Source organism: Homo sapiens, chromosome 14 (assembly GCF_000001405.40).
Source record: "Homo sapiens chromosome 14, GRCh38.p14 Primary Assembly".
NCBI lineage: Eukaryota > Metazoa > Chordata > Mammalia > Primates > Hominidae > Homo > Homo sapiens.
In genome coordinates, this window is record NC_000014.9 from 93485729 (window position 1) to 93501777 (window position 16049).

General features: G+C 40.3%; 1 protein-coding gene across 29 annotated transcripts in view, besides 1 other annotated feature; it reads left to right on the plus strand.

Moving 5' to 3' along the window:
* The window catches only part of UNC79 (unc-79 subunit of NALCN channel complex), a 374695-nt gene that overhangs the window by 152547 nt on the left and 206099 nt on the right, over positions 1–16049 (plus strand). For 27 of the 29 annotated variants that reach the window (XM_011537027.3, NM_020818.5, XM_011537026.3 and 24 more), the window contains exons 5-7: positions 1935–2027; positions 10683–10738; positions 11429–11558. In XM_011537027.3, the coding sequence (XP_011535329.1) occupies positions 1935–2027; positions 10683–10738; positions 11429–11558 (279 nt within the window). The remainder of the gene's footprint in view (positions 1–1934; positions 2028–10682; positions 10739–11428; positions 11559–16049) is intronic. The other 2 variants (XM_024449668.2, XM_047431622.1) reach the window with 1 other exon arrangement.
* Positions 4097–4596: an enhancer, noted in NCBI's record as "H3K4me1 hESC enhancer chr14:93956171-93956670 (GRCh37/hg19 assembly coordinates)". NCBI's record gives its function as "activates a minimal SCP1, AML or CMV promoter by ChIP-STARR-seq in naive H9 embryonic stem cells {active_cell/tissue: H9 hESC(naive)}" and the evidence as "EXISTENCE:reporter gene assay evidence [ECO:0000049][PMID:30033119]".

A 16049-nucleotide genomic window follows, 5' to 3' on the forward strand; every position in this document is an offset into this window, starting at 1 on the left:
CTAGTTTATCTCCCTGAGTATCACCGGCGTAGGCAGCTGGGTTAGCAGCTGCCTAGCTGCAAGTGATTAATAAAAGCCAACTTAAGTAAATGGAACTTAGTGATAGATATGTTTTGTTTGTTTATTTCTGTAAAATTGTTTTAAAGGCCACTGTCTACTTTGGTGCCCAAATTCCTTTATGTAAAAAGAAAAGAATTGTGTTAATTTTTTTTATCTCCTCTGATTTATTGTATGACAAATTTTTATTAGTGTTTTGATGATTCTATTATACATGTGTTCTATTAGAAGTTATCTATCCTTTTTGGATGTAGGTGAGATATAATCCACACCTATTGTACTTTAATATAAAATAAAATAAAGCAGATTTTGAGGTTATTTGCTTTTTGTTGTTGCCTGTGGCAGTGGTCTTCTCTATTATGTTTAGAAATCTAAGGGTTGACTTTTTGAGGGTTTTATGCTGTCTGCACCATTCTGTTCATGCTTGACACTCTGCCACACAAGCCCAAGTGTAAGGCGAGGTTTCTTCTACTTCTGCAATTTTCCCTGAGAAAAAGAGGAATTTATTTTATATTTGAGTCCTAATAAAGTTTCTCCTGTGGTGGGTCCTCTCTCAATTACTGTGTTTGAAATAAGAAAGTCCTCTTGGGGCCAGGCACAGTGGCTCACGCTTGTAATCCCAGCACTCTGGGAGGCCGAAGTGGGTGGATCACGAGGTCAGGAGTTCAAGACTAGCCTGGCCAAGATGGTGAAACCCATCTCTTCTAAAAATACAAAAATTAGCCGGGTGTGGGGGCAGGCGCCTGTAATCCCAGCTACTCGGGAGGCCGAGGCAGGAGAATCGCTTGAACCCAGGGGTTGGAGGTTGCAGTGAGCTGAGATTGTGCCACTGCACTCCAGCCTGGGCAACAAGAGTGAGACTCTGTCTAAGGAAAAAAAAAAAAAAAAAAAAAGAAAGAAAGTCCTCTTGGGAGACCATGTATTTCCCCAAATGACTTCCATCAGTGCTACTTTTGAATACTTAAAGGGGTGACTGGATACACTCTCTTAAACATGAGAAACAAAGAAATTTAATATGGTATTTGATGTCATCTTAAACAAGCCACTTAAAGATGTCTTAAAAGCAGTTTGTGAGTGGAGACCATGATTATACAGCGGTAAGATGGATTTTAAAGAAGCCAATTTGCTTTGTGATTTTATGCTTGTTGGTGTAGGATAAAATGCCCAGCAACTGTGTTATTCACAGATTCACAAATTGCTTTATTTCAAACAACTCAGATGAATATGAAGATGGTAAGCTCTGGAAAACTAAAAAAATGGTTCTCATGGTAATGAAGACATTGATGATGAAGTTACACGTGAAGGTTTGAATAAAACTGTTTAATGATATGTGAAAATTGAAAATCTTTAAATTAATATATCATTATTTTTTATAATATGTGATTTAGAATTTGTATTGTAACTAAATTAATGTTATACATTATAATTAAACTATTATTTCATCTGCATCTCTAAAAATTAATACATTCAATTTGAGTTTAAAAACCTTTCCTTTTTATTTTCTCATTGGGATACCCTTCAATATGTCTTTATCTTTGGGCACACAGAGGATTCTGTTTTTTCTTTCTTTTCCATCTAAATACAAACATCATGGGGGTAGAGATCCCATCTAAGTACAACTCAGATAAAGCCATTACATCACTTTCTGACACTGTTCTGTCTCCTTATAGATTCTCACTCAATTTTCCTATGGAGATGACAACTGTAGCATTTGTATGCCAGGACACATTTTGTGGTTTCATTTGTGCAAAACTTCCATTAGCTTTATTGGAGCTATTTTTTTTTTTAAAGTTCCTTCTTATCTCTCATGCTCTGTGCAAAGTAACAGGTATATGTAGAGATTAAATTGTGTCTAATCAAAGAACTTTTGGTTGCAGTGGGCTCCTCAAGGAGAGAAGGTGTACCTGCCCATGTTAACCTCTCTGCATCATCCATGCTAATGATTGCAATGCAGTACACATCCAATCCAGGTAAGTGGAAATTGGAATGGTTTGACTAATTCTAGTACCAATAATTAAACAAGACATCAAACAAGCAGGCTAGATGTTCTCATGTGAGAACGTCATCATCATAGAGATGTGTAGAAAACAGACTTTTGAGTTGGAATCAATTTATCTTGCCTATTGCTATTAGCAGTGATCCTGCAGGCTAGTGATATTTTTAGAATATTTGAGGACACAATTTTAGACATTGACTGGAAATGGATTGAATATAAGTATACAGAAATAGTAAAATTAGAAACATAAAAATCACCTGCAATTCTAAGAACAAAAGATAACCACTGTTAATATTTTGGTAAATTGGCTACCCCAATACACCCAAGTATCCTTAAACATAAACCTTTCACTATATTTCTGATTATTTCCTTAGAATAAACCAACAAAAGAGGGATTAATGAGTTAAAGGACTTGAGAAATTTTCAATATTTCCAATAGTATGTGAAAGTACTTGTCTCATTGTGATTTGTCATTATTATTATAAAATTTGTGTAGAGTTAGACAGATGAATATTAATATCTCTTTGTTTAGATTTGTAGTTCTTCCATTACTAGTGATGTTGGACAGATTTTCACATTTACTCTGTTTGATTTCCATTTGTCAGTATAATTGCAGATAACTTTGGAAAACTGACCAAAACATGTGCTAACATGTAAACTCATTTTTATTTTCATTTAGTGTTTATTTGGAAAGTAAACAAATCCAGTGACACTGTGGTTTTTTTTTGCTATCTACTTAATTACTTAATAAATAGTAATTGAACTTCTGACTCAGAATGAGGAAAAATTTTTTATTTCAAAATCTGAATGCTTCTTAGTTTGGAGTGTCATCTTCTGTCTTAGTCCGTTGGGTTGTAACAGAAATATAAACGGAGTGGCTGATAAGCAGTAAACATTTATTTTTCTCATTTCTGGAGGCTGGGAAGTCCATGATCAAGGTGCCAGCAGAGTTGATGTCTGGTGAGGGCCTGCTTTCTAGTTCATGGATGGCCATCTTGGTGTTGTGTCCTTAAATGGTGGGAAGGAAAGGGAATTCTCAGGGTCCTCCTTTATAAAGGCAGTAATCTCATACATAAGGGCTCTGCCCTAATGACCTAATTACTTCCTAAAGGCCCCAACTCTGAATACCATCACTTTGAGGGTTAGGGTTTAACATACTAATTTAAAAATTTTTTTAAGATACAGAGTCTTACTCTGTCACTCAGGCTAAAGTGCAGTGGTGCAATTATGGCTCACTGCAGCCTTGACCTACCTGGCTCAAGCGATTCTCCTTCCTCAGCCTCTTGAGTAGCTGGGACTACAGGCATGTGTTACCACATCTGGCTAATTTTTAAATTTTTTTAGAGACAGTCTCATTATGTTTCCCAGACTGGCCTCAAACTCCAGACCTCAGTGATCCTCCTGCCTTGGACTCCCAAAGTACTGGGATTACATGCATAAGCCACCATGTCTGGCAACATACAAATTTTGAGAGGACACAAGCATTTAGTCTATAGTATTCCACCCTATTTTCTGAAATTCATGTTATTCTCATATGCAAAACATTCATTCCATCCCAATAGCCCCAAAAATCGTAACTCATTTCAGCATGAACTCAAAAGTCCAAAGTCTCATGTGAATACCATCTAAATCAGATATGGGTGAGGCAATTTCCTCTCCAGCTGTGAGCCTATGAAATCAAACAAGTTATATGCCTCCAATATACAATGGTTGGACAGGCATAGCATAGACATTCCCATCCAAAAGGGAGAAATGGGAAAGAAAAAAGGTGTAACAGGTTCCAAGTAAGTCTAAAACCCAACTACATTATACCTTAAGGTTTGAAAATTACCTTTTTTGACTTGATGCTCCACCTTCCAGGCCCACTGGGGTGGAGGTCCCACCTTCCAAACCCATTGGGGTAAGAGTTCTGTCTTTTGGACCCACTGAGGTGGTGGCCCTGCATAGCAGCTTTGCCATGTAGGGGTTGGGCCCCCAAGACCCTGCCCCTGTGGCTTTGCGTGGCTCTATCTCCATGGCTTGCTGGGCATTGCCCTGGTGGGGGCTCTCTACAGTGATCCTGGCCCCCACAGTGGTTCCCTTCCTGGGCCCCACTCTGCAGGCTGGGGTCCGGTGCCCATGACTCTCTCAGGGTGGAGTTCCAGCTCTCCTGGGCATCCTTTGAAATCTAGGTGGAGGTGAATACACCCCCATGCCTTTGCTGGGTACAGTGCATGCTGCTCTGCCCAAAGGGCAGCTGAACAATGAGGCACTGGGGTATAGGACTGAATTTTACAATGTAAGAAGGTGCCTTGTGAGGGGGTGGCATGCCCTGAAGTCTCAAAAGTGCTGGTGGCCTCTCCTCTGAAACCATTTCTCCCCCAGGGTCCTTGCACTCTGGGTCTGTGATGGGAGGGGCAGTGCAGAGGATTTCCGAAGTGCCTCTGGGGTCATTCTTCCATTGTTTTGGACAATACCTCCTGGCTTCTGTTGAGATGGCTGACTAATCTTATTAAATGGTCACTTGGCTACACTCTCCCCATTCTCTTCCTAACAGGCTTCTTCATCCTGTCAATACAGATAGGCTGAGGGTTTTCCAAATCTTTAAGTCTTCTTCCTCCTTGATTAACAATTCTGTCTTTGGATCATTCTCTCTCCCCACATTTTATTACAGTATAAGCAGTCAGAAGAAATCCAGCTGGGCCTCTCTTTCAACACTTTGCTAAGAAATTTTCTTAGCCAAGTATCCAATTTTATCACTCACAAGTTCTACCATCCACAAAACACTAGGACATGAACACAATTCAGCCAAGTTCTTTGTCACTTTATAGCAAGGATGGCCTTTCCTCCACTTTCCAGGAATGTGTTCCTCATTTCTGTCTGAGATCGCATCAGAATTGCTTTTGCTGTCCGTATTTATACTAACATTCTCTTCAGGATCATTTAGGTATTCTCAAAGAAGATTGAAGCTTTTTCTACTGCTTTCCTCTTCTCTTTTTCAGCACTTGCCAGAATTGCTTTTAAAGGTCTATTCATGGCAATATAGGCTTTTTTCTAGCCTGCAGATCAAAACTCTTCCAGCCCCTACCTGTTACCCAGTTCCAAAGCCACTTCCACATTTTTAGCTGTTTGTTACAGCATCACCCCACTTCTCAGTACCAATTTTCTGTTTTAGTCCATTTGGGTTGCTATAACAAAAATTCTATAAACTGGATGACTTATAAGCAATGCACATTTGTTTCTTATAGTTCCAGGGGCTGGGAAGTCCAAAATCAAGGTGCTGGTAGATTGGATGATCTGTGAGAACTCATTTCCTGGTTCATGAATGGCTGTCGTTCTGCTGTGTCCTCAAGTGACAAAAGGGCAAGGGATTTCTCTGGGGCCTCTTTTATAAGGGCACTAATCACCTCCTAAAGGCTCCACATCCTAATACCATCACATTAGGGGGTTTGGATTTAACAGAAGAATTTTGAGGTGACACAAACATTCAGTCTGTAGCATTCTTTAAGTATGAAATCTCTTATGATTATTATATAGATATAATTAAAATATATATATGGGGAAATTATATCTTATATATCTGTCTGGCTTAAAATAATCAAAATACTATATTTATTATATATTATGTCCTTAATAAAACCATTTATTTGGAATCTAGTTAATTAGAGTCTCATCATGCCAGTCTGGTCCAAATTTCTAAGCTAGTTGGGTAGTAAAGCAGGGTGCTTTGAGATTAGTCGTATGTGGATTCACATCTGAGCTTACCTGCAAATTGCCAGTTAGTGAACTTGAGCAAGTTTTTTACCCCCTGAAACCAAGTGTCCTCATCTATAAAATGGAAATAATTCTTCTTGCAGTACTTTAAAATGCTGCTGTGAAGATTTAATGGGTTACATATATGTAAAGTGCTTACTTTAGTGACTGACAAATTGTAAATTCTCAATAAATACTGAATCCCTACAATTTGCCATTTTCTTCTTGGAGTTGAATGTTGAGTTGAATGTTTCACTGGAAAACTACTGTGGTCAGGTAGAGTTGCATCTGTTATTTTAAAATCTGTATCTTCATTTGTTCATGAGGAAATGTTTATAACCAGCTACTGTATACTAGGAATCATAGTTGGGACCCAAAACTAGTCTTGTGATATAGGAAGCACTTAAGCGAGGCAATATCCACCAGGGGCTCTCTGGGACCAAGTGGTAGGTCATGGTTCTGTTGTTTGAATTTTTATTGGAAGAAGCACAACTGGCAACTTGATCCTTGTAGCTGATTGTGTATCAAGGATAGAACACAATCCTTACTTAAGTAACCAGCATTCATTGAGCACCTTCTATATACAGGGCTTTGTGCTAGGCATTGTGAAAACCACACAAAAACATAAGATATGGTACTTGCTATGAAGCTTATGTCTAATTGGGAAGATCAGGCATATTTACATAAATCATTAGTTAACAATGTAATGTAGTACATAGGAGTACTAAATAAATATATTAGACAGTGTTAATTTATCAGAAGGAGGGAGCTGTATGGATTGAAATGATCAGAAAAGATTTTGCGTCACTTGGGCCAAGGATGAGTTTTAAATTATGGAGAGAGTTTTGTTTTGTTTTATTTTTCGAGATGGAATCTCACTTTGTTGCCCAGGCTGGAGTGCAGTGGCACGGCTCACTGCAACCTCTGCCTCCTGGGTTCAAGCAATTCTCCTGCCTCAGCCTCCCCAGTATGTGGGACTACAGGCACATGCCACCATGCCCGGCTAATTTTTGTATTTTTAGTAGAGATGGGATTTCATCATGTTTGCCAGACTGGCCTCGAACTCCTGACCTCAAGTGATCCGCCTGTCTTGGCCTCCCAAAGTGCTGGGATTACAGGCATGAGCCACCATGCCTGGCTGGACAGAGTTTTTATTGATAAGGTAAATGGGGCATTCTGGGAGGGGAAGCTGTTTTAACAAAGGAACTGTCCAGGTATGTTCATGGGTCAGTGATGGCTCTGAACAACGTTCATATAGCAGACCTGTGGAGATCAGCAGACACTATGTACAAGAAAGTGTCTTGGAACATCTGCACTTGAGAATTCAGTGATGGCTTAAGACCAAATTTCCAATTCTAGAGCAACCATTCAATCAGTAGTCACTGAGTATCCACCATGTACTGGGCACTGGGGGCTCCATGGTTAGTGACATGGGACTGACCCCATCCTCATCTCAGGAAGCTTATCGTATGGTCGGGTTGAGAGGCGAGAAGACAATCAAATAATCATAAAATCAAGTGTAAAATTTTGCTTGTGACAAGTGCTTCAAGTATGTTATACTATAAGATGTTATAAAAGGAAATTTTGCTTTTATTGAGGAAGTCAGGAGGGCTTCTTTGAGGAAGTAACCTTTGGTTTGAGAACTGCAGGATGAATAATGTGAACAAGGCCTACAAGGGGGGGCGGTTCAGGAAGAGGAATCTCATGTGTCACGGGGGAGTCTGGCAAACAGCTGAGACTGAAGGATCAGTGTAGCTGGAACTCAGAGTGAGGGCTCCCTGGTGTGACACTAGACTTAAGAGTTCCATGGGCTGGAACATGCAGGGTGTTGTGAGCTATGTTAGGGAGGCCTGCGTTTATTCCAAATCTGATGGGAAGCTGCTGAACGGCTTTGAGTGGGCTGTGGTGTCTGTCACCCCTGCTGCAGTTGAGAACGGATTGAGAAGAAGCCAGGTTGGATATAGATTGACCTGGAAGGAGGTCATTGCATTTGCGTAAGCACTTCAAAGGCAGGGACAATTGAAACTGAAGAATAAGCAGATCTTTCTGAAAGCTATTTAGGAAGTAAAATTGATAGGACTTGGTAACATATTGGCTAGAGTGGGTTTCTGGATGCACTAACTGGATGCATGGTGGTCATATTAGTTTGTTGTTGCACTGCTATAAAGAAATACCTGAGACTGGGTAATTTATAAAGAAAAGAAGTGTCATTGAGTCATGGTTCTGTAGGCTGTACAGGAAGCATAGTGGCTCCTGTCTCTAAGGGAGGCCTCAGAAAACTCATAATCATGGTAGAAGGCAAAGGGGAAGCACGTCTTACATGGCTGGAGCAGGAGGAAGAGAGAGAAGGGGAAGTGCCACATATATATATATATATATATATATATATTTTTTTTTTTTTTTTTTTGAGATAGAGTTTTGCTCTTGTTGCCCAGGCTGGAGTGCAGTGGCACAATCTCAGCTCACTGCAACTTCCGCCTCCCAGGTTCAAGCAATTCTCCTGCCTCAGCCTCCCAAGTAGCTGGGATTACAGGCACCCACCACCACACCCAGCTAATTTTTTGTATTTGTAGTAGAGATGGGGTTTCACCATGTTGGCCAGGCTGGTCTTGAACTCCTGACCTCAGGAGTTTTGATCCACCCGCCTCGGCCTCCCACAGTGCTGGGATTACAGGCATGGTGCCACACACTTTTAAACAACCAGATCTTGTGAGAACTCTATCATGAGAACAGCACCAAAGGGATGGTGCTAAACCATTCATGAAGGACCCACCCCCATGATCCAATCACCTTCTGCCAGGCCCCACCTCCAACACTGGGGATTACAACTGAACATGAGATTTGGTGGGGACACAGATGCAAACTGTAACAGTGGTTCTACTCACTGATACTGGAGGCATTGGAAGAAGAAGATCAGGCCTCTGAGGGAAGATCTTGAGATCTGTTTCAGACGTGTTGTGTTCACAGTATCTTTGAGACACCTAATAGGAGCTGGTAATTAGGTAGTTGTATTATGGGTCTGGAGCTCAGAACAGAGCTTTGGACTAGAGATAATGAACTTTGAGCCCACACACAAGTGTCCAGTGACCTTCACTGAATTGCATATAGATGGCTGCTGAAGTTGTGTGTGAGTGTGAGATTGCTTAGGGGAGAGCAGAGAATGAAAGAAATGTGGAGTGGTTCTGTGATTAGGCCTTCAGAAACTTCAACAGATAATGGCCCAGTGGAAGAGGATGAGCTCTCCAAAGAGACAGAGAGGTTGCATCTGTTAAGATGTCTTTGGCTGACAGAGGCTTTAAAGTATAAACACATTGGTTGTTTACTTAATAGGAAGTCCTGAAGATAGCTCCACAATATCAGGGGGCTGAGATCTTGGAATTCCCCTCATGTTTGCAAGAAAGCTGCCACTGTGGAGGTTATTATAACCTCGTATAACTACAAAACAGGTAATAGGATCAAGCAGAGTCATTAAGAGAAAAGTCTCCTGGTGTACCTCTTTCGTTTTATCAGAGGGAGAAAGTATGTCTCAGAAGCTCCCCAGCAGATTTTCTCTTCATTCTTACTGTCCAGAACTGAGTCACGTGGCCATCTCTAGCTGCAAGGGGCTTTGGGAAAGCATCTTGCTTTTGTAGTCTGTGTATTGGTGTATTAGTCCGTTTTTACACTGCTATAAAGAACTGCCAGAGACTGAGTAATTTATAAAGAAAAGAGGTTTAATTGACTCCCAGTTCCGCATGGCTGGGGAGGCCTCAGGAAACTTATAATCATGGTAGAAGGTGAAGGGGAAGCAAAGACCTTCTTCACATGGTGGCAGCAAGTGCAGGGAAAACTGCCTTTATGAAACCATCAGATCTCGGGAGAACTCACTCACTATCACGGGAACAGCATGGGGCAAACTGCCCCCACGATCCAATCACTTCCCATTAGGTTTCTTCCTAAAACCTGGGGATTACAATTCAAGATGAGATTTGGGTGGGGACACAGCTTAACCATATCAATTGGCAAATGGACAAGAAAAAAAGGGTGTTGACAGCAGTTGAGTAGCAATAGTGTTGTCCACCACAGGTGACGGGAGGGTCATTCATATGAAGCCAAGGAGTGTTTCAAAAAGGAGACAGTAGTCAGCACTACTGAATGTGGCTGAAAAGTCAAGTAAGATGAGGACTGGAAAATGTCCATTGGATTGAAGGACACGGAGGTCATTGGTGAATAAAGTGTGAACTGCTTCAATGTCAGCATAGGCCTGGAATATAGATTAGGGAAGGTATCAAAAGGCATCTAACTAGGTTGAAAGAATCTTTGTTCCCCAAGTGAAGATAGGCAAATCAAGGAAGCTTGCTGTCATGTAGCTTTTAAAAATTCCTCTATAAGATGGAACTGATGATGAAATTATAAAACCCCACTCTAATCCATCAAGTCTGTCACTTCCTATCCATTCAACCTTGGGCAAGTTGGAAACTGAGGCTTAGTTTCCTAACTGCACCATAGCAATTGTGAGATAATACATATAAAGCTCTTTCTACGGTATCTAGCAAATAATGAATGCTCAATAAATGTGAGCTTTTATTATGATTCTGTTGGGCTAGTTTTTTTTCTTATGTAGATCTTATGTTGATACAAGTTTATTTTATGAATGTATGATTACTACCGACATTAAAAATATTTCCATTGTTAACATGAAGCATGAAATACTTCTCAAGGACCTTGGGACAAAGCTTGATAAAGTCAAGGGCTTATGTGATATTTTTTAAGTATGAATATATGGAGAGAAGTTATTTCTAATTTAATGATTAGAGACTGAAAAGTCATATTGAAGTAATTTCTTATATATGTATATCAAAGGATGTTTTGTCTGGTATTTACATTTCATGTATGAATTACATTTTCTACATTACAGTGTATCATTGTCAATTACTGGAATGCCTCATGAAATATAAACAAGAAGTCTGGAAAGTAAGTTTTGGGTCAAATTTAACCCATAGTCACAAACTTAATTTGTATAATACAGTAAAAACTGTTTACGTATTAAAACTGTTGTTTAGGTCAAATTTATTGACGTCCTATTATTTTGATGTGGCAGAACCTATAATTCTTTCTTTAATGGTTAATTATTTATCATTTAGAGCAGAAATGGTACTTTAAGAACATCGTGTCTTGACGGATAAAGTAATTGAATGTATCTTATTCTTGGAATTAAGCTAATATTATATGTTATGACAAACAATTTTATTTAATTTGAAAGATTGCTTGAGAATGTGTCCTCTTTCAAATAGGAGATGTGAATGTTTAAGAAATGTGATTAGGGAAATGTTTTTTCAAATATGGTATTTGGCAAACTGTCTTGTGCTATTCTAAAATCTTTCTTTAGCATCAATCTGATTAGAGATCAATTTGTTAGAAGATAAAGTACTTTGTACTCTACCTGTGAGGGCTCATTTACAGAAGGATCAGTAAATAAATAAATCATGAAAATATAATGTTTTGACGTGATCTAATCTATGAAACATGTCTGCATGAGATTCCAGGGAAATTACTCACCTCAATCCCTCCATTAGAATTTTCACTGCTTTGGTAATGTTGAAGTCTCTACCTTTCTTTTTATTTCATGATGCTAAGTCAAAATATGCTTGCTGTTTCCTTTAGGATCTTTTGTATGTGATTGCGTATGGGCCTTCACAAGTGAAGCCTCCAGCTGTGCAAATGCTTTTCCACTACTGGCCCAATTTAAAACCTCCTGGGGCAATAAGCGAGTACAGGGGGTTGCAGTACACAGGTAAGAGGAGAGGAGCCCTGTGATGCCCCATCTGTATTTCTCCTGTGCCACACTGGCCTCACCTACTTATACATACATTTTTATCTTGCTGGATTATATTTTCTATGCCTTTGGACATGGTCATAAATCCTTTCTGAAACTAAGTGGTTTAAAGATGAATTAATTCAAATCAATTTCAAAAGCATTTATGGCCTCAGGGCAAATTGCCTTAAGTCTCAGTCCCATTTGCTGTACCACTGGCTGAGGGTCTTAACTCTGGCTACCATTAATCACTCCACAGGGATGAGCAGTGAGAGTGATGCTGCAAATTTGCTCATCATTTAGCAGAAACCCCAACTAGCAGATTCTGCTCTGATAAGAAGACTTGCAGCACTTTCAATATCACCAGCTCATGCACTAAATAAAAATTAAATGACCCAGACTGGGCACAGTGGCTCATGCCTGTAATACTAGCACTTTGGGAGGCCAAGGCGGGCAGATCACAAGGTCAGGAGATGTAGACCATCCTGGCTAACATGGTGAAACCCCGTCTCTACTAAAAATACAAAACTTAGCTGGGCGTGGTGGTGCACGACTGTAGTCCCAGCTACTTGGGAGGCTGAGGCACAAGAATTGCTTGAATCTGGGAGGCGTAAATTGCAATGGGCCAAGATCGCACCACTGCTCTCCAGCCTGGCTACAGAGCGAGATTCTGTCTAAAAAAAAAATTAAGTGACCCCGATAGGCTGGGTGCAGTGGCTCATGTCTGTAGTAATCTCAGCACTTTGGGAGGCTGAGATGGGCGGTTCGCCTGAGGTCCAGAGTTTGAGACCAGCCTGGCCAACATGTAAAAATTAGCCAGTTTTGTTGCTTGTGCCTGTAATCCAGCTACTCAGGAGGCTGAGGCAGAATAATCACTTGAACCCAGGAGGAGGAGGTTGCAATGAGCCAAGATTGTGCCACTGCACTCCAGCCTGGGTGACTGAGCCAGACTCTGTCTCAATAATAATAATAATAATAATAAATAAAAAATAAAAAATAGGTCAGGCGTGGTGGCTCACACCTGTAATCCCAGCAGTTCGGGAGGCCTAGGCGGGTGGATCACAAGGTCAGGAGATTGAGACCATCCTGGCCAACATGGTGAAACCCCGTCTCTACTAAAAATACAAAAAAATTTTAGCCGGACGTGGTGGCACGTGCCTCTAGTCCCGGCTGCTTGGGAGGCTGAGGCAGGAGAATCACTTGAACCTAGGAGGCAGAGGCTGTGGTGAGCCGAGATCAAGCCACTGCATTCCAGCCCGGGTGACAGAGTGAGACTCTGTCTCAAAAAACAAACAAAAAAATGACCCCGATAGCCTGGTTGCTCAGCCATTCAACAGGGAATGAATTTTGATGTAATTAATAATGAGAAAAGAACATTAACTTTAAATATAATGACAGATATCTACCAAAAAATCCTGCGAAACAAACAAACAAATCAACAACCTCCAGGTCCTAGGAGGTTGTTTATGTATATATATTATTAAATCAAAGAAGAAACCTATGGCTAATGGAGTTTTTGATGCCCTTGTTCACCTTTTTGCCCTGCTTAATTGTAGGTATAATTTTCTGAAAATGAGAGAGAGAGATATTTTTGCAAGGTTGACTTTTCTCCAAGTTATTGTAGGATTGCACACTGATGTTCTGAGAATCTACTTATTTGTTCACATTATTGTTATTTACAAAGGTGATTTGAGGTGGTTTTCAAGGGGATTTAACTGAATTCAGGTGTCTGATTTACGTTCCCGATGAAAGACTTAAAATCAAGTGTTAGAGATGGTAATACTTGTTGTTTGGGCTTTTGGTGGCCCTTGGTGGGCTTATTCTAAGCCCAAAATACATGGTAACAATAATAAAAACAATGAAAGTAGATAGTAAGTAAATTTTTTAAAATGGGAATTGGTATCATAGGTGCTGTATATCACAGATAGCAGAGAATGTTTAAGTGTTGGTAAGTGAATGATTTGAATGTAAAAGCAGCACAACATACGGAAGCATTAATAGAATAAAAGGTGAAACAACTGAAATATTTGACACTCCTTCCCATTCGATCCCTGAAATAAGCACTTACGTGAAGTATAAATGGATAATCAGTATTAAATAACATTTATTTATTTGATAAATATTTGATGAGTAACTACTCTGTGCCAGACACTGTACTTTCTGTTAATAATACAGGAACCAACACAAAACCAGGTCTCAGGGAACTTACTACAATCTAGACATGGAAATCCATTCATTTTATTGAACAAATAATTATGGAGTGTCTACTATTAGGCAGGCATTATTCTAGGCGCTTTTGGTGAAGCAGTAAAGAAAACATGAAAATCATTACTATCTTGGAGCTTACATTCTAATTGTTGGGGAAAGACCCCAAAACTGCCTTACAGGGTAATAAGTGCTAAAGTAGAACAAATACAGAGAGCTGTGGGGACACACAGAAAGGGTCTCTAACCTCAACGGGATGTGGGCAAGTTTGGGAAGGGGTATTTGTTAAGGCAGATTCTCAAGTAAGTGACATTTAAGCTGATACCTGAAGGATATATACACACTAGATGTCAGAAACGGGTGAGGCATGAGTGAATAAAGTGTGAGTTGCAAGGCAGAACGTACTGCAGGCAGAAGATAGCATGATAGTATTTAGGAATTGGAAAAAGTCCAATGTAGCCAGACATTGGAGTGAGAGGAGGAGAGTAGCCAGAGGTGAGCAGAGAGGCTGATAGGCCTGGGAAGGAGTTTGGATTTTATCCTAACAGCAAAGGGACGCCAGGCACAGGCTTTAGATGGAGAAGCCACTTGATGAGATTTGCCTGTTCAGAGCATCTCAAAAACCCAGCAAACTGACAGCCACTTCCACCCATCCCCGTGGCCATTGCCCCGAGAAAGGTTCAGTCAAACCTGTCTTCACTGAAATAGCTCAGCCTATGCCCACTACAACCAGAGCAACTTTCATCTTAGCGTACCAAGATGTCTCTGTCTGAGGGCATTCATTCTTCAGTCCATCCTTGCAATGATATGGTCATGCTTCCATTCTTTCAGCAGTCTGTTATGGGATGCCTGCTGCCCTCCAGGCACTGTCCTAAGTACTGGGGAAGTAGCTCTCTTGAAACTCCCATTCTAGTAGACCATGGCATTCTGTGTAGGAAACAAAAGATCACAGAAAAAAAAAATCATTCCGGTCTATAGATTACTACTTATCCAGCACCGGCTGCTGGTCAGACATTGTTTAGCTGCTTATGATATTATCTAATTTTTTTTAGCCCTCTCCTAATTGAAGACAATCTATGGACCAGGCACCATATTAGGTTTTACAGATGTTTTCTCAATTAAACCTTACAAAAATATTGGGAAGTCAGTTGTCCTATTTCTGTTCTACAAATGAGGAGTGGGACATAGAGTTTAAGTAACATGCCTAAATTCACACAAATAATAAGGGCACAGATTGAATTTGAGCCCCACATTTTTCTACTTTAACTGTGTTACATCACTTTTTTCAGTTCAGTTCTTTAATTAAACATTAGGTAAAGCATTAGAAATTGTCTGCAATGCCTACTGCAAGACATACCAAAGAGTATCATCAGTATTGAAATGGCACTATAACCCCAAATATTCTTAATGAAAATTGTATGGATTTTATTAACTTAGAAGCTCAAAGATGAAATGCTTTCTTAGGAACCAGCAACTTTTGTTTGTTTTCCCAGTGATTTACAGCATTTCCTCTTTAAAAAGTAAAAATTTGGCCAGGTGTGGTGGCTCATGCCTATAATCCCAGCACTTTGGGAAGTGGAGGCAGGTGGATCACCTGAGGTCAGGAGTTGGAGACCAGCCTGGCCAACGTGGTGAAACCCTAGCTCTACTAAAAATACAAAAATTAACCAGGCATGGTGGTGCACGCCTGTGATCCCAGCTACTGGGGGGTTGAGGCAGGAGAATCCCTTGAACCTGGTAGGCAGAAGTTGCAGTGAGCCAAGATTGCGCCATTGCACTGAAGCCTGGACGACAGACCAAGACTCCATCTCAAAAACATAAAAATAAATTAAAAAAAAAAGCAAAATTTTTTTTTAAAAAGGAAAATTTACTTATAGAAAAATTACAGTAACATGTGGCCAGCGCAGTGGCTCACGCCTGTAATCCCAGCACTTTGGGAGGCCAAGGTGTGCAAATCATGAGGTCAGGAGATCGAGACCATCTTGGCCAACATGGTGAAACCCCATCTCTACTAAAATACAAAAAATTAGCTGGGTGTGATGGTGCGTGCCTATAATCCCAGCTACTTGGGAGGCTGAGGCAGGGGAATTGCTTGAACCCAGGAGGCGGAGGTTGCAGTGAGCTGAGATCGCACCACTGCACTACATCCTGGCAACAGAGCAAGACTCCGTCTCAAAAAAAAAAAGAAAAATTATAGCAATATGTAAGGAGGAAAAACACCACCACCATCCAGAAATGACTATTGTTAACATTTTGGTTTATTTA